Source organism: Homo sapiens, chromosome 15, assembly GCF_000001405.40.
Source record: "Homo sapiens chromosome 15, GRCh38.p14 Primary Assembly".
NCBI classification, from domain to species: domain Eukaryota; kingdom Metazoa; phylum Chordata; class Mammalia; order Primates; family Hominidae; genus Homo; species Homo sapiens.
In genome coordinates this window covers 78,844,298-78,870,567 of record NC_000015.10, presented here as the reverse complement: position 1 = coordinate 78,870,567, position 26,270 = coordinate 78,844,298, and the positions used below count along the sequence as shown (strand labels likewise).

Sequence of the window (26,270 nt, the reverse complement as noted above, 5' to 3'; positions counted from 1 at the left end):
ATGGTCTCGATCTCCTGACCTTATGATCCTCCTGCCTTGGCCTACCAAAGTGCTGGGATTACAGGCATGAGCCACTGCGCCCAGCCAATTTTTTGTTGTTGTTGTTGTTATGAGACCAAGTCTCACTCTGTCACCCAGGCTAGAGTGCAGTGGTGCAGTCTCAGCTCACTGCAGCCTCCACCTCCTAGATTGAAGCGATTCTTCTGCCTCAGCCTCCCAAGTAGCTGGGTTTACAGGCGCATACCACTATGGCCGGCTAATTTTTGTATATTTAGTAGGGATGGGGTTTCACCATGTTGGCCAGGCTGTTCTCGAACTCCTGACCTCAGGTGATCCACCCGCCTCGGCCTCTCAAAGTGCTGGGATTACAGACGTGAGCCACTGCGCCCAGCCTGCACATACTTTTTTAATCCAAACGTTTAAAAATACAAAAATGAAAATAGTGGGCCGGGCGCGGTGGCTCACGCCTGTAATCCCAGCACTTTGGGAAGCCAAGGCAGGCGGATCACGAGGTCAGGAGATCAAGACCATCCTGGCTAACACGGTGAAACTCCATCTCTACTAAAAATATAAAAAATTAGCTGGGCGTGGTGGTGGGCGCCTGTAGTCCCAGCTACTCAGGAGGCTGAGGCAGGAGCATGGCATGAACCCAAGAGGCGGAGCTTGCAGTAAGCCGAGATTACGCCACTGCACTCCAGCCTGGGCGACAGAGTGAGGCTCCATCTCAAAAAAAAAAAAAAAAAGAAAATAGTGAAAGTCTCTTTCCCACCTCCACCCCTCATCTGCCCAGTTCCCCCACTGTTATGAGTTGTTTGGGAATCCATGAGTTTTTTTATCCTAGAACCCTCTTTGTGTTATTTCTTCTTTTGTATTGAAGTTAACTTATTTGCCTTTATGTGTTAATTACACAGGTAATATTCAAATATTTGGGCTCATGATGCAACAATTGAGAAATATAAAATACAGGGCAAAACTTAAGGAACATGTTTATTCCCCGCTCCCCCCATTTACCTTCCCACCATTTGGCGTGTGCATTTTTCTCCATTTTTTTTTTTTAACCATAAATGGTCTGTACATATTGTTCAGTTGCATTCTTTTTTTTTTTTTTTTTTGAGACGGAGTCTCGCTCTTTCGCCAGGCTGGAGTGCAGTGGTGAGATCTCGGCTCACTGCAACCTCCGCCTCCCGGATTCCAGCGATTCTCCTGCCTCAGCCTCCTAAGTAGCTGGGATTACAGACGCCCGCCACCATGCCCGGCTAAGTTTTGTATTTTTAGTAGAGACAGGGTTTCACCAAGTTGGCCAGGATGGTCTCGATCTCTTGACCTTGTGATCCGCCCGCCTCAACCTCCCAAAGTGCTGGGATTACAGGCGTGAGCCACCACGCCCGGCCCAGTTGTATTCTTTTTTAACATAATAATATATCTTGGAGATTGTTCAAATTACATACAGGCCTATCTCACCTTTTTTTTTTTTTTTTTTTTGAAACAGCGTCTTGTTCTGTCTCCCAGGCTGGAGCACAGTGGCATGATCATGGCTCACTGCAGCTTGCAGCTCCTGGGTTCAAGTGATCCTCCTGCCTCAGCCTCCCCAGTAGCTGGGACTACAGGTGGATGCCACCACACCCAACTAATACTTTTATTTTTGCAGAGATGTGCTCTCGCTATGTTGACTGGGCTGGTTTCCAACTCGTAGCCTCAAGTAATCCTTCCACCTCTGCCTCCCAAAGTGGTGGGATTACAAACATGAGTCCCTCACATTTTCAATAGCTTTCGACATACCATAGTATAAATATTTCAAGATTTATCTAATCTTTGTGCACATTGCTTTTTCTTTTCTTTTTTTTTTTTAAGAGACAGGGTCTCACTATGTTGTCCAGGGTAGCGTGTCAACACAGCCAGGCTATGTTGTCCTGGCTAGAGTGTCCAGCCTGGAATCCTAGGCTCAAGCAATCCTCACGCCTCAGCTTCCAGAGTAGCTGGGAATACAGATCACGCCACCATGCCTGCCTTCTGCACTTTGCTTTTATTTTTTCAGGACCCAAGAAGTAGAATTACTAGGTCAAAGAATGTGGGCATTTTAAATTGCCTTGTGAAAGGTTTCATCATTTTACATTTCAACTAGCAATTTAAGAAAAGGCTTGTTTTTCCACATTCTTGACAAACATGGCATCATGGAGTCTCTGAAAACTGGTGTTTGTTTTTTTTGAGATGGAGTCTCACCCTGTCGCCCAGGCTGGAGTGCAGTGGCACGATCTTGGCTCACCGCAACCTCCGCCACCCGGGTTCAAGCGATTCTCCTGCCTCAGCCTCCCAAGTAGCTGGGATTACAGGCACCTGCTACCATGCCCAGCTAATATTTGTAGTTTTAGTAGAGACAGGGTTTCACCATCTTGGCCAGGCTGGTCTTGAACTCATGACCTCATGATCCACCCGCCTCGGCCTCCCAAAGTGCTGGGATTACAGGCGTGAGCCACTGCGCCCAGCCTGTTTTTGTTTTGACGTGGAGCCTCGCTCTGTCACCCAGGCTGGAGTGTAATGGCATGATCTCGGCTCACTGCAAACTCCACCTCCCGGGTTCAAGCGATTCTGCTATCTCAGCCTCCCGAGTAGCTAGGATTACAAGTGCACGCTGCCATGCCCAGCTAACATTTTGTATTTTAGTAGAGACGGGGTTTCACCGTGTTGCCCAGGCTGGTCTTGAACTCCTGAGCTCAGGCCATCCACCTGCCTCAGCCTCCAAAAGTGCCAGGATTACAGGTGTGAGCCACTGTGCCCTGCATGAAAACTGGCTTTAATATAACAGGAACTCGTGTTGTACAAAAGAAACCAGACATGAAAGAGTATATACTTTATCAATAGTGTTAGAAATTATGGGCACTAGGAAACTACAGAACAGTGACAGAAATGTTCTGTATCTTAATCTGGTGTGGTTAGATGGTGTTACATGTTTTACACATGTAAAAATTCATCAAGCTGTACACTTACTAGTAATGCACCTTAACAAACCTACATTATACCTCAATAAAAATATTTTTAAAGTCGCTTTTTAAAGATTTTATTATGAAAAGTTCAAACATACAGAAAAGTAGAAAGAATAATACATTTTAGCCAGGTGCAGTGGCTCACGCCTGTAATCCCAACACTTTGGGAGGCCAAGGCAGGTGGGTCACAAGGTCAAGAGTTTGAGACCAGCCTGGCCAACATGGTGAAACCCCGTCTCTACTAAAAATATAAAAATTAGCCGGGCGCTGTGGCACATGCCTGTAGTCCCAGCTACTCAGGAGTCTGAGGCAGGAGAATCATTTGAACCCGGGAGGCAGAGGTTGCAGTGAGCCGAGATTGTGCCACTGCACTCCAGCCTGGGCGGCGGAGCAAGACTCCATCTCAGGAAAAAAAAAAAGAAGAAGAAGAAAAAGACATTTTTTATCACCTCCGTTAAACAACTGTGAACATTTCCCCGGATGTGCCTTATATTGACATATTTATGTGGGGTGTGTGTGTGTGTAAACACATAATAACCATTCACACCTGGTTTCTTTAGTATGTACTTCCAAAATAAGCATTCTCTACATGCCACAATACCATATCACATCCAGCACAATAACATGCAGTCTGCTTTCAAGTTGTTGCTATTAGAAACCTATGTCAATAGGGAATAACAATAGTTTCCTAAAATTATGCAGTACTCACTCCAGATTTCCTCGCTTGTTTGTGTCCTCCTTTTTTCAAAACAAGACCTATTAAATAACAATGTATTACATTTGATTGTTAAATTTTTTTTTTTTTTGAGACGGAGCTTCACTCTTGTTACCCAAGCTGGAGTGCAATGGCACAATCTCGGCTCACTGCAACCTTCGCCTCCCGGGTTCAAGCAATTCTCCTGCCTCAGCCTCCTGAGTAGCTGAGATTACAGGCATGCGCCACTATGCCTGGCTAATTTTTGTATTTTTAGTAGAGATGGGATTTCTCCATGTTGGTCAGGCTGGTCTCGAACTCCCGACCTCAGGTGATCTGCCCGCCTCAGCCTCCCAAAGTGCTGGGGTCACAGGTGTGAGTCACCACTCCTGGCTACAATCTCTTTTTTTTTTTTTAATTATGCCCCAGAACTGAGCAATCTCTTGTTTTTTTGTTTGTTTGTTCTGTTTTTTTTTTGAGACAGAGTCTCAAATCTCGGCTCACTGTAACCTCCGCCTCCTGGGTTCAAGCCATTCTGCCTCAGAGTAGCTGGGATTACAGACACACACCACCACGCCCAGCTAATTTTTGTATTTTTAGTAGAGGCGGGATTTCACCACGTTGGCCAGGCTGGTCTTAAACTCCTGACCTCAAGTGATCCACCTCCCCCAGCCTCCCAAAGTGCTGGAATTACAGGCACGAGCCACCGTGCCTGGCCAAATCTCTTGTCTTTTTAAACGTAGAGCAGAAGTTCTTAAGTTAGGAGTCTGTGGATACAATTCAAAGGGTCCATGAAGTTGGATGAGGCAAAAATTACATTTTTATTTTCACCAAATTCTAATTAAAATTTAGCATTTCCTAGGCCGGGTACAGTGGCTCATGCCTGTAATCCAAGCACTTTGGGAGGCCGAGGCGGGCGGATCACAAGGTCAGGAGATCAACACCATCACCATCATGGCGAACACAGTGAAACTCCATCTCTACTAAAAATACCAAAAATTAGCCAGGCGTGGTGGTGGGCGCATGTAGTCCCAGCTAGTCTGGAGGCTGAGGCAGGAGAATGCTGTGAACCTGGGAGGCAGAGCTTCCGGTGAGCTGAGATTGCGCCACTGCACTCCAGCCTGGGCAACAGAGCAAGATTCCATCTCAAAAAAAAAAAAAAATTTAGCATTTCCTTCCATTACAAATGAAGATAACGAAGTACAATACTATGAGCTGTGGCTTTGTCATCAATATAAATTACAGAAGTTTTCATATCACATTACGGCTAATGAAAATATCTCAGAAATATCATTTATATTCATCACTACTTTAAAACTATTATAGTTGGCCAGGCGCAGTGGCTCACGCTTGTAATCCCAGCACTTTGCGAAGCCGAAGCAGACGGATCACGAGGTCAGGAGTTCAAGACCAGCCTGGCCAACATGGTGAAATCCCGTCTCTACTAAAAATACAAAAATTAGCTGGGTGTGGTGGTGCATGCCTGTAATCCCAGCTACTCGGGATGCTGAGGCAGGAGAATGGCTTGAACTCAGGAGGTGGAGGTTGCCGTGAGCTGAGATTGTACCACTGCACTCCAGCCTGGGTGACAGAGCAAGACCCTGTCTCTAAATAAATAAATAAAATAAAACTATTGTAGTTATTGGACCTGCTGCTAGATCTTGTTATTTAGTGCATTAATAATGGAACATGTGTATTCCATATTGTACTTTAAAATATTTTGATAACTATATTTCTCCGGGTGTGGTGGCTCACACCTGTAATCCCAGCACTTTGGGAGGCCGAGGCGGGCAGATCACTTGAGGTCAGGAGTTTGAGACCAGCCTGACCAACATGGAGAAACCCCGTCTCTACTAAAAGTACAAAATTAGCCAGGCGTGGTGACACATGCCTGTAATCCCAGCTACTTGGGAGGCTGAGGCAGGAGAATCGCTTGAACCTGGGAGGCGGAGGTTGCGGTGAGCCAAGATCGCGCCATTGCACTGCAGCCTGGGCAACAACAGCAAAACTCCGTCTCAAAAAAAAAAAAAACCTATTTTTTAATGATCCTGTTTTTTATTTCATGCATTTAAGACATTCTGAGAAAAGAATTCATTGGCTTCACCAGACTGTCAGTGGGGCTGGAGGGGAAGCCTTTGGCTCAAATACAGTCTGCCCCCACACACATAGCCTTTATTAGTAGTGGTATTAGTCTTTGTTTAGTATTAGTATTTGCTTTCTGAAGAGCCCAGGCCTTTGTTGAATGTCTGACATTCTGGGTTCACCTGATTATTTACTCACGGTGTTACTTGTTATTTACATTTCCTATAAATGTAAAGTTAGGTCTAAAGACTTGATTAGATCTAAGTTGAGTGTTTTGACAAGATTATTTTAAAGGTGATGCTGTGCAGTTCTCATTGCATTACATCAGCAGGCACATGATATCTGGTTGTCCCACTGTTAGTGATGCTAAGTGTGATCACTGAGCTACAGAGGTTAAGACACTTTTGTTTTTGCAGAATCTAATGATATTTAAATTTATGGAAAAATGTAAACATATACAATAGCAGAGGTGATAGTGTAATGAACTCTGTTGTATGGGTCACTCAGCTTCTACAGTTATTAACATGTGGCCAATCTTGTTTCATTGGTATCTCTTCATTCCTCTCCCCCGAAAAATGCATATACACAGATTCCAGAGATCATGTCTTTTTTATTCATAAACAATTTAGTATGTATCTCTAAATGACGTTGTTGCATTTAATTGCAAATAACTCCTTATCTTCAAGTACCCAGTCTGTGTTCAGATTCCCTGATTGTCTCATACATGTTTCTTTATGACTGGTTCAAATCAAGATGGAAACAAAGTCCACACATTTCATTCCATTAAGGTATCTCTGTCTCTTTTTTTGCCATTTACTTGTTGAAGAAACTGGACTGCATTAAATTAGCACACTGTCTTAAAGTGTTCATTTATAGATTAATTGAACATAACATCTTCAAATATGAGTTCCATGGGAGAATAAAATGTATTTGACGTTGTATATCTTTGCATTTTTTAGTACAAATAGTAATAAGTCACTACTCAACATAATGAATCATCAGCCAAAATAAGAAAAAATATCCATTAAGATTAAGCTTGTTCCTTTCAGCCGGAACCGCCATCTTCCAGTAATTCGCCAAAATGACGAACACAAAGGGAAAGAGGAGAGGCACCCAATATATGTTCTCTAGGCCTTTTAGAAAACATGGAGTTGTTGCTTTGGCCACGTATATGCAAATCTATAAGAAAGGTGATATTGTAGACATCAAGGGAATGGGTACTGTTCAAAAAGGAATGCCCCACAAGTGTTACCATGGCAAAACTGGAAGAGTCTATAATGTCCCCCAGCATGCTGTTGGCATTGTTGTAAACACACAAGTTAAGGGCAAGATTCTTGCCAAGAGAATTAATGTGCGTATTGAGCACATTAAGCACTCTAAAAGCTGAGATAGTTTCCTGAAACACATGAAGGAAAATGATCAGAAAAAGAAGGAAGCCAAATAGAAAGGTACCTGGGTTCAACAGAAGCACCAGCCTGCTCCACCCAGAGAAGCACACTTTGTGAGAACCAATGCGAAGGAGCCTGAGCTGCTGGAACCTATTCCCTATGAATTCATGGCATAACAGGTGTTAATAAATAAATAAAAGACCTCTGGGCTGTAAAAAAAAAAAAAAAAAAAGATTAAGCTTGTTAAAATGCTACTTCTGAAGGCTCAGTGATCCTAATTTCCTCACTTGACCTTAATTTAGGACTGCATCAAAAAAAACTATTGTTTCTCATAGACTTTTTGGGAATGAAGATGATGACAATTACTTAATATAAGGTATAATAAAATAATAAATAATAAAATTTAAAATCAAAATTACCTCCCAACTGGAATACTGATTGTATTAGTTTCCCAGGACTGCCAAACATAAATTTATTATTTTACAGTTCTAGAGGCTAGACATCCCATATAAAGGTGTTGGTAGGTTTGGTTCCTTCTGTGGACTGTGAGGAAGAATCTGTGCCATTCCTCTCCCCTAGCTTCTGGTGGTTTGCTGGCAATCTTTGGCGTTCCTTAGCTTGCAGGAGCATTTGGTGTTCCTTAGCTTGTAGAAGCATTACCCCAGTTTCTGCCTTCGTCTGCACATGGCTTTCTCCCAGGTTTCCAGATGTTGGTGTCTGGGTTTGTGTGTCTTTTTCCAAATTTCCCCCTTTTTAATAAAGATACCAGTTAAAATGGATTAGGAGGCCACCTTACTCTAGTATGACCTCATCTTAACTAATTACATCTGCAACAGAGCTTTTTCCAAATAAGATCTCATTCTGAGGCTCTGAGGGTTAGGACTTTAACATATGAATTTTTGGGGGACAAAAGTAACCCCGCTCTTCTATTTTAAATTAATGTATAACATTTTCATTGACCTTTCATCAATTTACCAATTTGCTTTTTTTCCCACCTGGTTTACTTCTCTGGAAAAAATCCGGGCCGGGCACAGTGGCTTATGCCTGTAATTCCAGCACTTTGGAAGGCCAAGGCAGGCAGATCACAAGGTCAGGAGTTCGAGGTCATCCTGGCCAACATGGTGAAACTCCGTCTACACTAAAATACAAAAAGCTAGCCGGGTGTGGTGGTGCGGGCCTGTAGTCCCAGCTACACAGGAGGCTGAGGCAGGGGAATCGCTTGAACCCGGGAGGCAGAGGTTGCAGTGAGCCAAGATCGCACCACTGCACTCCAGCCTGGCAACAGAACGAGACTCTGTCTCAGCAAAAAAATAAATAAATAAATAAATAAATTTACCTCACCTCACATCACGTAGAGATTAATTATGCATCTGTAATAATGGGGGTGTCTGGGTATCTTCATTTCTGATGCTGAAATTTTTTAATATCTTTCTAACAAGGTCTGAAATTGTATTTCGAATTGATGAGCTAACATATAGTAATTGTGGAGAACATTTGAGAATTGCTGGGAATGACTAAAAATATTTAGGACGAGGAAAAAACTTGCAGCTGTCAACATATAATAGTTTTGCTCAAAGAAAGTGAGCTTCTGGCCAGGCGTGGTGGCTCACACCTGTAATCCCAGCACTTTGAGAGGCCAAGACAGGTGGATGACAAGGTTAGGAGTTCAAGACCAGCCTGACAAACATGGTGAAACCCCATCTCTACTAAAATACAAAAATTAGCTGGGTGTGGTGATGTGCGCCTGTAGTCCCAGCTGCTCAGGAGGTTGAGGCAGGAGAATCGCTTGAACCCGGGAGGTGGAGGTTGCAGTGAGCCAAGACTGAGCCACTGCACTCCAACCTGGGTGACAAAGCGAGACTCTGTTTCAAAAAAAGAAAAAAAAAAAAAGAAAAGAAAAAAGGGTATCTACATAGAAGCACTCAGAAAAAAAAAAAAGGATAAAAAAGTTCTAAGACCCTGTTCACAATAACCACCATATTCGTTCATCACTAAAGCAATCTTAATAGTGGTTTAAAAATATACAGAATTGTTCTCCAAACTAATCTTCAATATCACATAATATTAAGTAAAAAATAAACATTTCAAACGTTTTAACAGATTACTTCAGCAATATTATGAACTCTACAATTTCATGAATTTTAATGTCTTCTTATCCCCTAACCTTTGGCGTTCGGCTGCCCTTTAAACAGGCCACTCAGCAACAAATACTTTTATAGGGCAGATAGCCTTTAAGTGTGTAATTTACAAGATGAAATTTACTGGTTTCATTGTTCTTTTTTTTTTTTTTTTTTTTTTGAGACGGAGTCCTGCCCTGTCGCCCATGTTGGAGTGCAATGGCCGGATCTCAGCTCACTGCAACCTCCACCTCCTGGGTTCAAGCGATTCTCCTGCCACAGCCTCCGATTCTCCTGCCTCAGCCTCCCGAGCAGCTGAGACTACAGGCACGCGCCACCACGCCCAACTAATTTTTGTATTTTTAGTAGAGACGGGGTGGGGGACAGGGGGTGGGGTGGTCTCACCATATTGGCCAGGCTGGTCTCAAACTCCTGATCTCGTGATCCACCCTCCTCGGCCTCCCAAAGTGTTGGGATTACAGGTGTGAGCCACCGTGCCAGGCCCATTGTTCCTTTTTTAAAATAGTATTGGTAGTTTTGTATGTATTGAATTATTTGAAAATAAGACCATCCGGGCTGAAGTCTGTTATTACCGTTGATGACAACTGAAACTGGTGGAATTACTACCGTTGATGAGACCTGAAGTTGGTCAAACGAAAGCAAAACAAACCCGCCCAACGTGGGGCTCGAACCCACGACCCTGGGATTAAGAGTCCCATGCTCTACCGACTGAGCTAGCCGGGCAGTTAGAGAAAAGTGTTGTTCCTAGATCTTTTCAAAGGAATAAGATTGTTTTGATTTGTTCTAAGAATTACATTTCGTATTAAATGATTTTTCTATTTTATATATATATATATATATATATTTTTTTTTTTTGGTAAAGTTTTTCATGACTTTTAAAACTTGTGTTTCATGTCTGATTCTGTGCGCACAAACTTCTGTTGTTTAATAAAAATGTATAAACAGCCCTCTAGTGGTCAGCACCTTTCCGTTTCCTTAAAGGTAAGGCGGGCCAAGGAAGGCGATGCCGACTCCAGCCCGGAGAATAGGAGTGAGTGTAGGGGTGCTTCCAGTTCATCCTAAAGATTCCCGCCGGCAGAGCGCCCACCCCTTGAAGCGCGGGGACCAGAGAGGTTCTCAGCACCCTCGTGGCCCACTGCAAAAGATGGCTGCGGAGAAATGTCCTGCACACTCTCTGGAAACAATTGGAACTGAAAGCCCAGCTGCAGAGCTGGCTGGCCTCTCGGCATCGTGTGACTTAGAGATTTTCGGAATTCTTTTCTTTGGCATGACGGTGGTTCAACTAAGACATACCATGGTGTTTACACGAGAGATTAGAAAGCTAAAGCAGTCTCAGCGAGTAATTGAAAATACCGTAGAGTTTGCTCACACTCAAAACTAAAAAGTGAAAAAATTTATTCCATAGACTGATAGAACCTCAGTGTGGGAAGGGACCATTATTCCAAGCCTCTCCCTACTAAAAAAAAAAATAATAAATAAAGATTTATTCTGTTTTCCAGAATAAGTGATTTCACAGTAGCCAAACAGTCCCAGTTAATGAGGGAAACTACTTTGTAAGAAAAAAACAAAGGCCGGGCGCGGTGGCTCACGCCTATAATCCCAGCATTTTGGGAGACCGAGACGGGCAGATCACGAGGTTAATAGATCGAGACCATCCTGGCCAACATGGTGCAAACCACGTCTCTACTAAAAGTACAATCGGGCGTGGTGGCGCATGCCTGTAACCCCAGCTACTTGGGAGGCTGAGGCAGGAGAATCGCTTGAACGTGGGAGGCCGAGGTTGTAGTGAGCCGAGATCGTGCCATTGCACTCCAGCCTGGCAAGGGTGTAATCCTGTCTCAAAAAAAAAAAAAGCAGGATTAGAAAAGCATACTTTGGCAAATTCATTTATTATTATTATTATTGACATAGAGTCTTGCTCTGTTGCTCAGGCTGAGTGCAATGGGGCGATATCAGCTCACTGCAACCCCCACCTCCAGGTTCAAATGATCACTCCTGTCTCAGCCTCCTGAGTAGCTGAGATTACAGGCGTGCACCACCACGCCTGGCTAATTTTTGTATTTTTAGTAGAAATGTAGTTTCGCCATGTTAGCCAGACTGGCCTCAAACTCCTGACCTCAGGTGATCCACCCGCCTCGGCCTCCCAAAGTGCTGGGATTACAGGAGTAAGCCACCGCATCCAGCAGTGGCAAATCCTTTTAAACAAGGGTTGTCAATTATGGTTAAACCATTACGTTAATTTTATATGTTAATAGTTGGTAGAGAACTGGATATTTACAGGGTCGAAGTAACACCACACAGGTTACTAGATGCAAGGAGGACAATCTCACTGAATGATGGCGGGTTCAGGTTGTTATTACCTTAATCCAGAAATTAATCTGAGTTTTGCTAGTGCTTTACTAATCTTCAACAAGATAGATAGTGTATCTTTAGCAGTGATACAACACAAAATCAATGATAATTATTTATTCTAGTCAAAAAATGTTTTTGATTAATTAGTATCTAAAGGTCCATAGGCCTTTTGATATTAATTCCAGTTTACAGGAAATATAAAGGATAGAGGAACAAGATGAATGACACCATAAGGAGCCAATAACACAAAGTCAGAGGGTGGGAAATTCTCCAGGACAACTAACCTTCAAGAAGTATTATATATTTTTTAATGACTTTTGCTAGTTTTTTTTTTTTTTTTGAGACCGAGTTTTGCTCTTGTGGCCCAGGCTAGAGTGCAGTGGCGCACTCTCGGCTCACTGCAATCTCTGCCTCCCGGGTTCAAGTGATTCTGTTGCCTCAGCCTCAGCCTCCCGAGTAGCTGGGATTACAGGTGCGTGCCACCACACCCAACTAATTTTTGTATTTTTAATGGAGACAGGGTTTCACCATGTTGGCCATGGTCTCGAACTCCTGACCTCAGGTGATCCACCCGCCTCGGCCTCCAAAAGAACCAGGATTACATGTGTGAGCCACAGTGCCTGGTCAACTTTTGCTAGATTAAAAGAGACAAAAGGGCCATAATAGTCAGATGCAATAGGTGATCCTAGATTGGATATGTTCTGGAAAAACTAGTTATAAAGAGATTTTGGAGTCAACTGGAGAAACTTGCATATAGTTTGAATATTGGATGAGATGAAAATTTACTGTAATGGAAAGTGGAGATGTTTGGCTGCAAAAAGCAAGTTATAGAATAAATGTAATCACTCATTTTGGTAAAAAGAATGCCATTTACTAAGATATTAATATTATTATTTGGGTAGTGGGAATCTGAACGTTTTACTTTTTTAATTTTTTGCTTGTCTTTATTTTCAAATTTTCTAAAATGCATATGTATACTTCTGTAATATTAAAAGGGTTATTTTTTAAAAGTACATGAGAAAGAAGAAAGAAAGGAAAGCAAAGATAAAACTTTAAAATGTGGCCAACAATTAGACTTACAGAAATGAGATCTGGGCCAGGCAAGGTGGCTCACCTGTGATCCTACTACTTTGGGAGGCCAAGGTAAGAGGATCACTTGAGCCTACTAGTTCTAGACCAGCCCTAACAACAAAGCAAGACCCCCCACGCCCAGCATGGTGACACACACCTGTAGTCCCAGCTACTTGAGAGGCTGAGGTGGGAGAATCGCTTGGGCCTCCCATCTCAGCCTCTCTTGGGAGGTCAAGACTGCAGTGAGCCTTGGTCACGTCATTGTACTCCAGTGTACTTCAGTGGGTGACAGTAAGAAACCTTGTCTCAAAAAAAAAAAAAAAGAGAGACTCAGAAGTTCTGGATACTTCTTTTGTATAAGTGGACTACAAATCTCATCCGAAGCTTTCTAGCAGTCATGGTGGAAAAGGAAAGCTGATCAGTTACACAATTCATAGGGTCCTCACAATGAAGCCATTTAAACCAAATCAACTCCTTGGTTACTCAGATCAAAAAGCAAGAGGAGTATATAGATCCTGTTATTCAGAAATAAATGCTGCTAAACCTAAGATATCTGGATCCTTGTTCCTTTTGTATGTGTGTGTCTGCGTTTCTTTCTTTTTCTTTTCCTTTTTTTTTTTTTTTTTTTAGACAGAGTCTTACTCTGCTGCCCAGGCTGGAGTGCAGTGGTGTGATCTTGGCTCACTGCAATCTCTGCCTCTTGGGTTCAAGCAATTCTCCTGTCTCAGCCTCCCAAGTAGCTGGGAGCCCAGCTAATTTTTGTATGTTTTTAGTAGAGACGGGATTTCACCATATTGGCCAGTCTGATCTCGAACTCCTGACCTTGTAATCCGCCCGCCTCGGCCTCCCAAAGTGCTGGGATTACAGGCATGAGCCACCACGCCCAGCCTCTTTTTTTTTTTTAATTGTGGCAAAATATACATAACATAAAATTTACCATCTTAACCATTTTTAAGTGCACAGTTCAATGGCGTTAGGTACATTCACATTATTATGTGACCATCACCACTATCTATCACCAGAACTGTTTCATCACCCCAAACTGAAACTGCATGCTTAGCAAACTGTAACTTCACATTGCCCTCTCCCCCCATCAGCTCCTGCAACAACCACTTTTTTTCTTTTTTTTTTTTTTTTTTTTTGAGACAGAGTCTCGCTCTGTCACCCAGGCTGGAGTGCAATGGTGCAATCTCGGCTCACTACAACCTCCACCTCTCGGGTACAAGCAATTCTCCTGCCTCAGCCTCCTAAGTAGCTGGGATTACAGGTGCGCACCACCACGCCTGGCTATTTTTTTTTTTTTTTTTGAGATGGGAGTCTCGCTCTTTCACCCAGGCTGGAGTGCAGTGGTGCGATCTTGACCCACTGCAAGCTCCACCTCCCAAGTTCACGCCATTCTCCTGCCTCAGCCTCCCGAGTAGGTGGGACTACAGGCGCCTGCCACCACGCCCAGCTAATTTTTGTATTTTTAGTAGAGACGGGGTTTCACTGTGTTAGCCAGGATGGTCTCGATCTCCTGACCTCATGATCCGCCCGCCTCGGCCTCCCAAAGTGCTGGGATTACAGGCGTGAGCCACTGTGCCAGGCCGACGCCCGGCTAATTTTTGTATGTAACCACCATTCTACTGTCTCGATGAATTTGACTATTCTAGGTACTCATATGGGTGGACTCATACAATTTTTGTCTTTTTGTGTCAGGCTTATTTTATTTCACATAATGTCTTCAAGGTCCATCCATATGGTAGCATGTATCAGAATTTCATCTCTTTTGAATGATGAATAACATTCCCTTATATGTATATATCAGGGAATTTTTGTTTACCCATTCATCAGTTGATGAACATTTGGGTTGCTTCCACCTTTTGCCTATTGTGACTAATGTTGTTATGAACATTGGTATGGAAATATCTGTTTGAGCTCGTGCTTTCAATTCTTTTGGGTATATACTCAGAAGTGGAATTGTTGAATCATGTAATTCTATTTTTAATTTTTTGAGAGTTCCTCTGGAATTTTTTTTTTTTTTCTGAGATGGAGTCTTGCTCTGCCACCCAGGCTGGAGTACGGTGGCGCAATCTTGGCTCACTGCAACCTCCGCCTCCCAGGTTCAAGCAATTCTCCTGCCTCAGCCTCCTGAGTAGCTGGGATTACAGACACTCACCACCATGCCCGTCTTTTTTTTTTTTTTTTTTTTTTTTTTTTAGTAGAGTTGGGGTTTCACCATGTTGGCCAGGCTGGTCTCAAACTCCTGACCTCAAGTGATCCGCCCGCCTCAGCCTTCCAAAGTGCTGGGATTACAGGTGTGAGCCACCGCGCCCGGCCCCTTTGGAATTTTAACCTTTATGAAAGTCACTTCCATAATGCAGGCCTCTGTTTCTTCATCTACAAATAAAAAGGCGGGGTGAGAGGCAGAGGGAGGACTAAGTCAAGGGAGGGCTTTAGGAGATCTCTAAAGAGCCTCCCAGCCTTACAACTCATGAATTGATGATCATTCAGAACCCTGGACAAAAGTGCTGGTCCCCTCTTTAGAGTCTCTGTGAGTAAGTACAAGAAGAAAGGCTCTTCTTCCCAAGAGGCACAACTTGATTTTTACTTGATGCTGGTCCTGGAGGGGCCTGGGGCTGGAGAACGGAGGATGGGTGGCCAAGGTTGCACAGGCTGGTGGCACTACAGGGCCCCTCCACTACTCCCCATCTCATCCCAGTATTTCTTTCCCCACCCCCTCACTTACTCAGTTTGCCTCTATGTGTCAGAGAGAAGGGGGTGAAGCCAAGGTCTAGGCCAGCATGAAACAAAACACTTGAAATTTCAGTAAGGAAATTTCATTAGGAGGAACTGTACCATCTTCCAGTGTCACCATGGAGACGGCTGAGATGAGACTCAAAAACCCTTGAACTCCAGTCTCCTTCCATTCTCCCCCATATATCAGCTGCAGCTAAACCAGACTCCTCAGTGATTTGTGGAGACCTCTGCAGCCAGCACAATCATTCTGATATTTCCCTAAACCTCTGCAAAATTACCCACTGCTTCAGGATGAAGTCCAAAGTCCAAACTCCTTAACAAGGCCTACCACATCTTGCATGGTCTAGCTTCAGCTTACCTCTCAGGCCTAATTGATTGGCAACCCATATGGGATGTTCCAGCCACGTGGAGCTGCTGGAAAGGGCAAAGCCAGGCACTTTTTTTTTTTTTGAGACAGAGTCATGCTGCGTCGTCCAGGATGGAGTGCAATGTCACGATCTTGGCTCACTGCAACAACCTCTGCCTCCCAGCTTCACGCAATTCTCCTGTCTCAGCCTCCCAAGTAGCTGGGATTACCGGCCTGCGCCACCACGCCCGACTAATTTTTTTGTATTTTTAGTAGAGATGGGGTTTCACCATATTGGCCAGGCTGGTCTGGAACTCCTGACCTTGTGATCCGCCCGCCTTGGCCTCCGAAAGTGCTGGGATTACAGGCGTGAGACACCGCACCCAGCCTTTTTTTTTTTTTTTTTTTTAACTAATTAAAAAAATTTGGACAGGCGCGGTGGCTCACGCCTGTAATCCCAGCACTTTGGGAGGCCAAGGCGGGCGGATCACGAGGCCAAGAGATCAAGACCATCCTGGCCAACATGGTGAAACCCGTCTCTACTAAAAATACATAATTAGCTGGGCATGTTGGCACGCGTCTGTAGTCCCAGTTACTCAGGAGGCTGAGGCAGGAGAATCACTTGAACCCAGGAGGCGGAGGTTGCAGTGAGCAGAGATCGCACCACTGCACTCCAGCCTGGCGACAGAGCCAGACTCCGTCTAAAAAAAAAAAAAATTTGGCCAGGCACGGTTGCTCAAGTCTGTAATCCCAGCATTTTGGGAGGCCAACCAAGGCAGACGGATCACTCGAGGTCAGGAGTTCGAGACCAGCCTGGTCAAAATGGAGAAACCCTGTCTCTATTAAAAATACAAAAATCAGCCGTGCATGGTGGCGCACACCTGTAGTCCCAGCTACTTGGGTGGAGGCACAAGAACCGCTTGAACCAGAGGTGGAGGCTGCAGTGAGCAGAGATCACACCACTGCATTCCAGCCTGAGTGACAGAGCGAGACGCTGTCTCCTCCCGCCAAAGAAAAAAAAATTATACAGATGGGGTCTTGCTATGCTGCCCAGGCTGGTCTCAAACTCCTGGCCTCAAGCCATCCTCCCACCTCAGGCTCCCAACGTGCTAGAATTACAGGCATGAGCCACTGTACCTGGCCAAGTCATGCACTTTCAAGCTTCCAGGATGCCAAGCGCACTCCTCCCTTACCTTGGAATACTTGCTCCCCACTCTCCTTTCTCAACTCTATCCTGGAAGACCTCTATCAGGAAGCACCTCCTCCAGGAAGGCCTTACAGCTTACCAGGAAGGCAAATGTGCTCTCTCATGCACCCACACTTGACTATACTCCCTTTTGACTCAACACAGTCCCTCTGCCATGGCTAGTGCAGAGAGGAAGCACCCAGTGATACCACCTAGGTTCAAATCCTGACCAGGCCACTCATAAAACCATAGGACATTGAAAATTGCCCACCTACCTCATAGGAGCATTGTGAGGACTGGATGAATGAATATGTGTGGTACGTGGTACCTGACCTGTAGAGCACTTGGCTTCCTCCCATCAATCTGTGAACTCAGCCGGACCTTGTGCTCTACCCTTAATGGGTGCCCTTTTTTTCTTTCTTTCATTCATTTATTTATTTTTATTTTAGTGTCAGGGTCTCACTCTATCACCCAGGTTGGAGTGCGGTAGCACAATAATAGCTCACTGAAGACTTGAACTCCTGAGCTCAAGAGATCTTTCCTCCTCAGCCTTCCTAGTAGCTGGAGTCACAGAGTGACTAGGGCTACAGGTCCCCACCACCACACCTGGCTAATTTTTATTTTTTATATATTTGTTTATTTCAGTAGAGATGGGGTTTCCCTACGTTGTCCAGGCTGGTCTGGAACTCTTGGTCTCAAGGGATCCATCTACTTTGGCCTCCCAAAGTGCTGGGATTACAGGCATGAGCCACCGTGCCTGGGATGCCCATTAAATTAGGGACTTGGTGTCATGTGCTCTCCAGTTACCTCATTCACATTGAGGAGATGGTATTGTAGTTCACATAAGGTTGGATTGTAAGGGAGGGGGCAACCAAGGCAGATTCAGGGGCATTGTGGGGATAGGGACAAGGGAGCAGCCTGAAAGGCAAGGAGAGGCCACACTGCTGCCAAGCTGCTAGCATGAAAAAGACAGATCATAACAAGTGTTGGAGAGACGGAGAGAAATTGGAACCTTCATACATTGTTAGTAGGAATGTCAAATGGTGTAGTTGGAAAATTGTATGGCAGTTCCTTAAAAGGTTATGCATAGAGTTACCACATGACCCAGCAACTCCACTCCTAGGTAGCGACCCAAGAGAAATGAAAACGTGTCCACACTAAAACTTGTACACGAACGTTCATAGGAGCATTATTCAAAATTGCCAAAAAGTGAAAACAAACCATATGTCCATCAATTCGTGAATAGAGACATAAAACCTTCTATAATATTATATTCTATATAATGAAATATTATTCAAACACAAAGTAAATGAAGTACTCATACATGCTACAGCATTCTACTCTGAAAACATTCTACTCTGAAAATATTCTACTCTGTGAAGAAAAGCCAGTCACGAAAGACTACATATTGTATGATTCCATGTAGGAGGCAGATCCACAGAGACAGAAACTAGATTAATGGCCGGGCGCAGTGGTTCACGTCTGTAATCCCAGCACTTTGGGAGGTCGAGGTGGGTGGATCACCTAAGGTCAGGAGTTCGAGAACAGCCTGGCCAACAAGGTGAAACCCCTATCTCTACTAAAAATACAAAAAATTAGCTGGGCATGGTGGTGGGTGCCTGTAATGCCAGCAAGTCGGGAGGCTAAGGCAGGAGGATCACTTGAACCCGGGAGGCGGAGGTTGCAGTGAGCCAGATCACGCCACTGCACTCCAGCCTGGGCAACAGAGCAAGACTCCGTTTCAAAGAAAAAAAAAAAAAAGTAGATTAGTGGTTGCCAGGGGCTGGAAGGATGAAGAAAATGGTATAAAATTAGATAATGGTGATGACTGCACACATATATAAACTAAAAACCATTGAATTGTACAATTTAACAGGGCAAACTTTGTGGTATGTAAATTTTATCTTAATAAGCTGTTATTTTAAAAGGAAGGGAAAACATGACAAAACAAGATTATCAGGGTTTAGATATTTTCTAAATATTTATTTAAGTTGCAAAATAAATGTCTGCTTTGCTGCATCTTGTCAGTGTGTTTAATGATAGAATAGACAACTCTGTAAGGAGAAAAGGTCAAATGTCTAGAGTCAAAATGTCTCAAATGTCCTTTGGGAATGTATGGCCTGGAGCAGCGGGGTTCCCTGCTGACCCCCCGTGTGAGGCTCTGGTTCCAGCCGCAAGTCTGCTGCTGATTTGCCCTGTGGTGCCAGGCAAGTCTCCTTCCCACTGGAGTTCCAGGATCTCCATTTACATAACAAGGAGACTGCTGCACTGGATCCTTCAGGCTGTCCCTTCTCTGGCATCCTGCACAACTTTGACCTTCCCTGAAGTCGGCTGGTGGAATTCTGCACGGACCCCCACGCATTCCCACCCAGGCCCCAAATGGCATCCCTTCAGGTTGAAAGGACAGAAAGGAAATTGTGAGCCCTGTGAGCTCACAATGGTGCCATTGTGCCTGGCAGAACCTCTTTGTTCTTTTCAGGCCTCTTTCAGATCAATATCCATTCCCCAGCTCTGGAAGGGGTGGGCAGCAGGGCTGGTGAATGCTACAGAATTAAGCCAAGAAGATTTAGCAGGCACTTAATGAACATAGTAGCCATTTGTGGAGTCTCCACTTTGTGGAGGCCCTTCAAGTACTAAAAGGATCTCAGCAAGGCTAAATGACTTGTCCAATACTGCACAGCTAGCTAGTGGCAGTGCTGGGCTTCACACACAGTCCTGGACACCTTCAAAGCCTCCAGTTACCAATGCCACGGTCACTTCCTTCTGTATTTCTTCTCATTTTGCATGTCCCAGAGACTTTCCTAAGACTTCGTGTATGTTAACTCATGTAAGCCTCATAACAATCCTGGAAGGAGGGAGTGTTGTCATCACCACAAGGATGAAGAAACTGAGGCAGAGTGGTTAGGTAACTTGCTCAAGGTCACACAGCTAATAAATGGCAGAGCTGGAACTTGGATAAAGCAGTCAGGCTCCAAAGTCCACGCTCTTACCATTATGTACCACACAGCTGAAGAGCTCTTGAATGTGACCTTTCACTTTGAGAGACTTATGAAGAATTTCTTGATTGGCTGAATAGAGATTTATGTACAGTTTTAAGAGCTCTGGCGCCCAGGTCTACCATTGACTGGATGAGTGAAAGGCCAGAGGTGCCTGTGAGACTGGTTTTTTTAAATGTCTGACCTAAAGGGGCAGCCACTTCTGGATGTGCAGGCCCAAGATCACTGGTTCTGCTGACTTGATTTAGAAAGGAACCGGAAATCTGGATTTTAAGTTAAAACTTCTGATTTTTTGTGTTTTTCTTGAGATGGAGTTTCACTCTTGTTCGCCAGGCTGGAGTGCAATGGCACAATCTCTGCTCACTGCAACCTCCGCCTCCTGGGTTCAAGCAATTCTCCTGCCTCAGCCTCCCGAATAGCTGGGAATACTAGCATGCACCACCATGCCCGGGGAATTTTGTATTTTTAGTAGAGACGGGGTTTCTCTATGTTGGTCAGGCTGGTCTTCAACTCCCAACCTTAGGTGATCTGCCCACCTCGGCCTCCCAAAGTGCTGGGATTACAAGCATGAGACACCATGCCCGGCCAACTCCTGATTTTTAAATGTTGGCAACTAACATTTTTTTGGGTGGTGGGGGGACAGGGTCTCACTCTCACCCAGGCTGGAGTACAGTGGTGTGATCTCAGCTTACTGCAATCTCTGCCTCCCAGGTTCAAGTGATTCTCCCAATGTCAGCCTCCCGAGTAGTTGGAACTACAGGTGCACACCACCACACCCAGCTAATTTTTTGTGTTTTTTGTAGAGACAGGGTTTCCCCATGTTGTCAAGGCTGATCTCGAACTCCTGGACTCAAGTGATCCCCCTGCCAAGATGACACCACTGCACTCCAGCTTGGGTGACAAAGTGAGACCCTGTCTTAAAACAAAACAAAACAAAAAAAGGCCAGGCATGGTGGCTTATGCCTGTAATTCCAGCACTTTGGGAGGCTGAGACAGTTTCGAGGATTAGATTGAATAAACTGTTTAAATTGTACAATTCAATGGTTTTTAGTGTGTGTGTGTGTGTGTGTGTGTGTGTAATCACCACCACTACCTAATTTTATACCATTTTCTTCATAGTTCCTCCCAGCCCCTGGCAACCAGGGCAAAAAAATCTCCTGTTGAGAATTCATAACTATAGTGTGGCTTTGGTTTATGGTTTTAGGGCCTAAAGCATATACTTCATGTACTAAGATGTGGTCCAAAACAATACCAGCTCTTCTGTTTTTGTTTTTGAGACACAGTCTTGCTCTGTCATGCAGGCTGGAGTGCAATGGCATGATCTTGGCTCACTGCAACATCTGCCTCCCAGGTTCAAGCAATTCTCCTGCCTCAGCCTCCTGAGTAGCTGGGACTACAGGTGCACACCACCACGCCCAGCTAATTTTTGTATTTTTAGTAGAGACAGGATTTCATTCACCATGTTGGGCAGGCTGGTCTTGAACTCCTGACCTCAACTGATCTGCCCACCTCTGCCTTCCAAAGTGCTAGGATTACAGGCCTGAGTCACTGTGCCCTGCCCAAGCTGTATCTTAATTAAAAATAGCAGAAGTAAATGAAAATCTCTCTGGTGAAGGCTACCTTCAACCCAGATGGCAAAGAATTCCTAGATATAAAGTGTGTATAAACATGACCTCACAATCAGAAGTGACATCAACAGACATGACTGACAGCAGAATTATGCCCATAAAACTTAAGCTGCTATGATTAAACTATAATACCATTTAGTTTAAAGAAATAAAAGATCTACTTGAAAACATGAGTAAGAAACAAAAGACTAACAAAAATGGGAAGGAGCCAGGTGTTGTGGCAATCCCAGCGCTTTGGGAGGTCAAGGCAAGAGGGGTGCTTGAGCCCAGAAGTGCAAGGCCAACATAAGCAACAAAGCAAGACCTTGTTTCTATGAAATAAAATAGCTAGGCGCAGTGGCTCACACCTGTAATCCCAGCACTTTGGGAGGCCGAGGTCACTTTGGGCAGATCACAAGGTCAGGAGATAGAGACCATCCTGGCTAACACGGTGAAACCCTGTCTCTACTAAAAATACAAAAAAAAATTACCCCGGCGTGGTGGCAGGTGCCTGTAGTCCCAGCTACTCAGGAGGCTGAGGCAGGAGAATGGCATGAACCCGGGAGGTGGAGCTTGCAGTGAGCAGAGATCGCACCACTGCACTCCAGCCTGGGTGACAGAGCGAGATTCTGTCTAAAAAAAGTAAAATAAAACAAATTAGCCAGATGAGGTGGTGTGCACTCATAGGCCCAGCTCTTCGAGAGGCTGAAATGAGCGGATCACTTCGGCTCAGGAGTTCGAGGCTGCAGTGAGCTATGCTCTGTGATTGGGCCACTGTACTCCAGCTTGGATGACAGAGCAAGACCATGTCTCTTAAAAAATAAAAAACTTAAAGCAGCCAGAGAGAAAAAAGAGATTACCTAAAATAAGACAACAATTAAATCAGTCGGGCGCGGTGGCTCACACCTGTAATCCCAGTGTGTCTGGAGTTGGTGGGTTCTTGGTCTCACTGACTTCAAGAATGAAGCCACGGACCCTCGCGGTGAGTGTTACAGCTCTGAAGGTGGTGCGTCTGGAGTTTGTTCCTTCTGATGTTCAGTTGTGTTCGGAGTTTTCTCCTGGTGGGTTCGTGGTCTTGCTGGCTCAAGAGTGAAGGTGCAGACCTTCGCAGTGAGTGTTACAGCTCTTAAGGCAGCGCGTCTGGAGTTGTTTGTTCCTCCCGGTGGGCTCGTGGTTTCGCTAGGCTCAGGAGTGAAGCTGCAGATTTTCGCAGTGAGTGTTACAGCTCATAAAAGCAGCGTGGACCTGAGCAGTAGCAAGATTTATCGCAAAGAGCAAAAGAACAAAGCTTCCACAGTATTGAAGGGGACAATAGCAGGTTGCCAATGCTGACTCCGGCAGCCTGCTTTTATTCTCTTATCTGGCCCCACCCACATCCTGCTGATTGGTAGAGCCGAGTGGCCTGTTTTGACAGGGGGCTGATTGGTGCGTTTACAATCCCTGAGCTAGATACAAAGGTTCTCCACGTCTCCATCAGATTAGTTAGATACAGAGTTTCGACATAAAGGTTCTCCAAGGCCCCACCAGAGCAGCTAGATACAGAGTGTCGATTGGTGCATTCACAAACCTTGAGCTAAACACAGGGTGCTGATTGGTGTATTTACAATCCCTGAGCTAGACATAAAGACTCTCCACGTCCCCACCAGACTCAGGAGCCCAGCTGGCTTCACCTAGTGGATCCCGCACGGGGGCTGCAGGTGGAGCTGCCTGCCAGTTCCGCGCCGTGCGCTCGCACCCCTCAGCCCTTGGGTGGTCGATGGGACTGGGCGCGGTGGAGCAGGGGGCGGCGCTCCTTGGGGAGGCTCGGGCCGCACAGGAGCCCATGGAGTGGGTGGGAGGCTCAGGCATGGCGGGCTGCAGGTCCCGAGCCCTGCCCGGCGGGAAGGCATCTAAGGCCTGGCGAGAAATTGAGCACAGCGCCGGTGGGCCGGCACTGCTGGGGGACCCAGTACACCCTCCGCAGCCACTGGCCCGGGTGCTAAGTCCCTCATTGCCCAGGACCAGCAGGGCTGGCTGGCTGCTCCGAGTGCGGGGCCCACCAAGCCCACGCCCATCTGGAACTCCAGCTGGCCCACAAGCGCCGCACGCAGCCCCGGTTCCCGCTCGTGCCTCTCCCTCCACACCTCCCTGCAAGCTGAGGGAGTGGGCTCCAGCCTTGGCCAGCCCAGAAAGGGGCTCCCACAGTGCAGTGGGGGGCTGAAGGGCTCCTCAAATGCCGCCAAAGTGGGATCCCAGGCAGGGGAGGTGCCAAGAGCAAGCGAGGGCTCTGAGGACTGCCAGCACGCTGTCACCTCTCACCAGCACTTTGGGAGGCCGAGGTGGGTGGATCACCTGAGGTCAGGAGTTTGAGACCAGCCTGACCAACCTGGTAAAACCGTGTCTCTACTAAAAATACAAAAATTAGCCAGGCGTGGTGGCGCATGCCTGTAACCCCAGCTACTCGGGAGGCTGAGACAGGAGAATTGCTTGAACCCGGGAGGTAGAGGGTACAATGAGTGGAGACCGTACCATTGCACTCCAGCCTGAGCAACAAGAGTGAAACTCTGCCTCAAAACAAAACAAAAAAACAATTAAATCGATAGCAGACTTTTCAAAAGCAAGGATGGAAAACCAGAAGACAGTAGAATAATGTCTTCAAAGAGCTGGAATAAAAAGAACAATCAACATACAATTAAACTAATGAAGCTATATTTCAAGAATGATAAGGAAATCAGATCATTTTCAGACAAAAATTAAGTTTATCAACAAACCTTCACTAAAGACATGTTTAAAGGAAATAGTTCAGAAAAAGAGAAAATGAGCCTCCGATAAGTTTGAGATTCAAGAAGAAATGTTGAACATTATAGGATAGTCATTAAAAAAACTAAACATAGAGTGTACTACTCTCAAACTACTAGAGGGAAAAAAATGAAATGAGAAAAATAATTAAATCCAAATGAAAAGAGAGGAAATTAAAACATAGAAAAACAAAGATAATGATAAAGCATCAAATATGATAGAAACATATCTAGCCATTACAGTGAAAACCATAATAAATGTGAATGAACTAAATTAGGAAGGTAAAAGACAAAAATTGTCAAGCTGGATTAAAAGTAAAACAAAACCAAGTTTATAAGAGAAACACCTAAAATAGACACAGATAAAAATATGCCTAACAACATCTAACTAAAAGAAAGCTGGCTGGTTAGCTTGGGCAACATAGTAAGACCCCATATCTACAAAAAAAAAAAAATTAAAATAAGAAAATTAAATACAAAATTAGCCAGGCGTGGTGGTGTGCACCTGTAATCCCAGTTACTCAGGAGGCTGAGGCAGGAGAATTACTTGAACCTGGGAAGTGAGAGGTTGCAGTGAGCCAAGATAGTGCCACTGCACTCCCGCCTGGGCAACAGAGCAAGATTCCGTCTCAAAAAAAAAAAAAAAAGCCAGGGGCAGTGGCTCACTCCTGTAATCCCAGGACTTTGGAAGGCCAAGGAGGGCGGATCACAAGGTCAGGAGTTCGAGAACAGCCTGAACAACGTGGTGAAACCCCGTCTGTACTAAAAATATGAAAATTAGCCAGGTGTGGTGGCAGGCGCCTGTAATCCCAGCTACTCGGGAGGCTGAGGCAGGAGAATCGCTTGAACCCAGGAGGCGGAGCTTGCAGTGAGTTGAGATCTCGCTACTGCACTCCAGCCTGGGTGACAGAGTGAGACTCCGTCTCAAAAAAAAAAAAAAAAAAAGAAAATTAGCTGGGCTTGGTGGCATGCAACTGTAGTCCCAGCTACTGGGGAGGCTGAGGTGGGAGGATTATTTTGAGCCCAGGAGTTCGAGGCGCCTATGATCACACCACTGCAGCCCGAGCAACAGAGTGAGACCTGGTCTCAAAAAAAAAAAAAAAAAGAAAAAAGAAAAGAAAGCTGGTGAGACTGTATTAATACAAAAAAGGGGAAAAAAGAGATTGTAAGAAATGAAAAGATGACCAGATGTTAGGGATATAGGGATGAAAAAGACAAGGCATTGCCCCATAAGCATTGACTGCAGTAGGGGAAACTTGGACTAGACACACACAAACAAAAAAAGAAATACCAATGCCAGTGAGTATTATTTTGGAAAAGCACAGAGAACTCAAAGGAAAACTGTGGTAGAGACACCTATTTTAGACTAGAGGTCAGGGAAGACCTTTTTGAAGAAGTGCCATTTCAGCTGAGACCCGAAGGCTGTCACCTGAGGCAGGAGATGAGGGGCAGAATGTCCTGGAGAGACAGAACCAACTTCAAGAGTGAAAGCCCCAAATGGGGGAAGAGCTGATCATAGGAGGAGAAACAGAAGGAAGACTGGCTGTGGCCAGTGAATGAGGATGGATAATCCCATTTCTTCCCAGTGGAAACACTGACTGTCATCATCTAACTTTTGCTGTATGAACTGAGAACCTCGCCTTTTGATTTGGAACAGTTGCAAAGAGTTTAAGTGCAGTGAGTTTATGTGAGAGCTCCCACAGGGAAGCCTGAGCTGGAAGGCGAGCCCACCCCATCTATTCTAAGAACAGCAGAGCTCCTGAGCCGCTCTTTTGTCCAGGCCATTCTTGCCACCAGGGCCCTGAACATCCTGGGCTAACCAGAGTCACTCCTGCAGGTACACTAGAGATCAGGTAGGGCAGCCTTGGTCTACAGGCCAGTTTCTTTGAATAAAAGGAGTTGAGGTTTCTTGG

General features: G+C 45.1%; 1 long non-coding RNA gene, 1 other non-coding gene and 1 pseudogene across 3 annotated transcripts; 1 reads left to right on the top strand and 2 right to left on the bottom strand.

The window, feature by feature from the left end:
• Positions 1-6,347: 6,347 nt before the first annotated feature.
• On the bottom strand, positions 6,348-9,705 carry LOC124903535 (uncharacterized). 2 transcript variants are annotated; one of them, XR_007064727.1, is made up of 2 exons: positions 9,668-9,705; positions 6,348-7,894 (listed from the first exon to the last, which is right to left on the bottom strand). It is a non-coding gene; the product is annotated as an uncharacterized LOC124903535 (long non-coding RNA). The 2 variants fall into 2 exon arrangements; XR_007064726.1 differs by lacking the exon at positions 9,668-9,705 and adding an exon at positions 8,141-8,240.
• RPL21P116 (ribosomal protein L21 pseudogene 116) lies at positions 6,797-7,356 on the top strand (annotated as a pseudogene).
• Positions 9,706-9,933: 228 nt separating the features above from the next.
• TRK-CTT1-2 (tRNA-Lys (anticodon CTT) 1-2) lies at positions 9,934-10,006 on the bottom strand. The gene has a single exon. It is a non-coding gene; the product is annotated as a tRNA-Lys (tRNA).
• Positions 10,007-26,270: the final 16,264 nt, after the last annotated feature.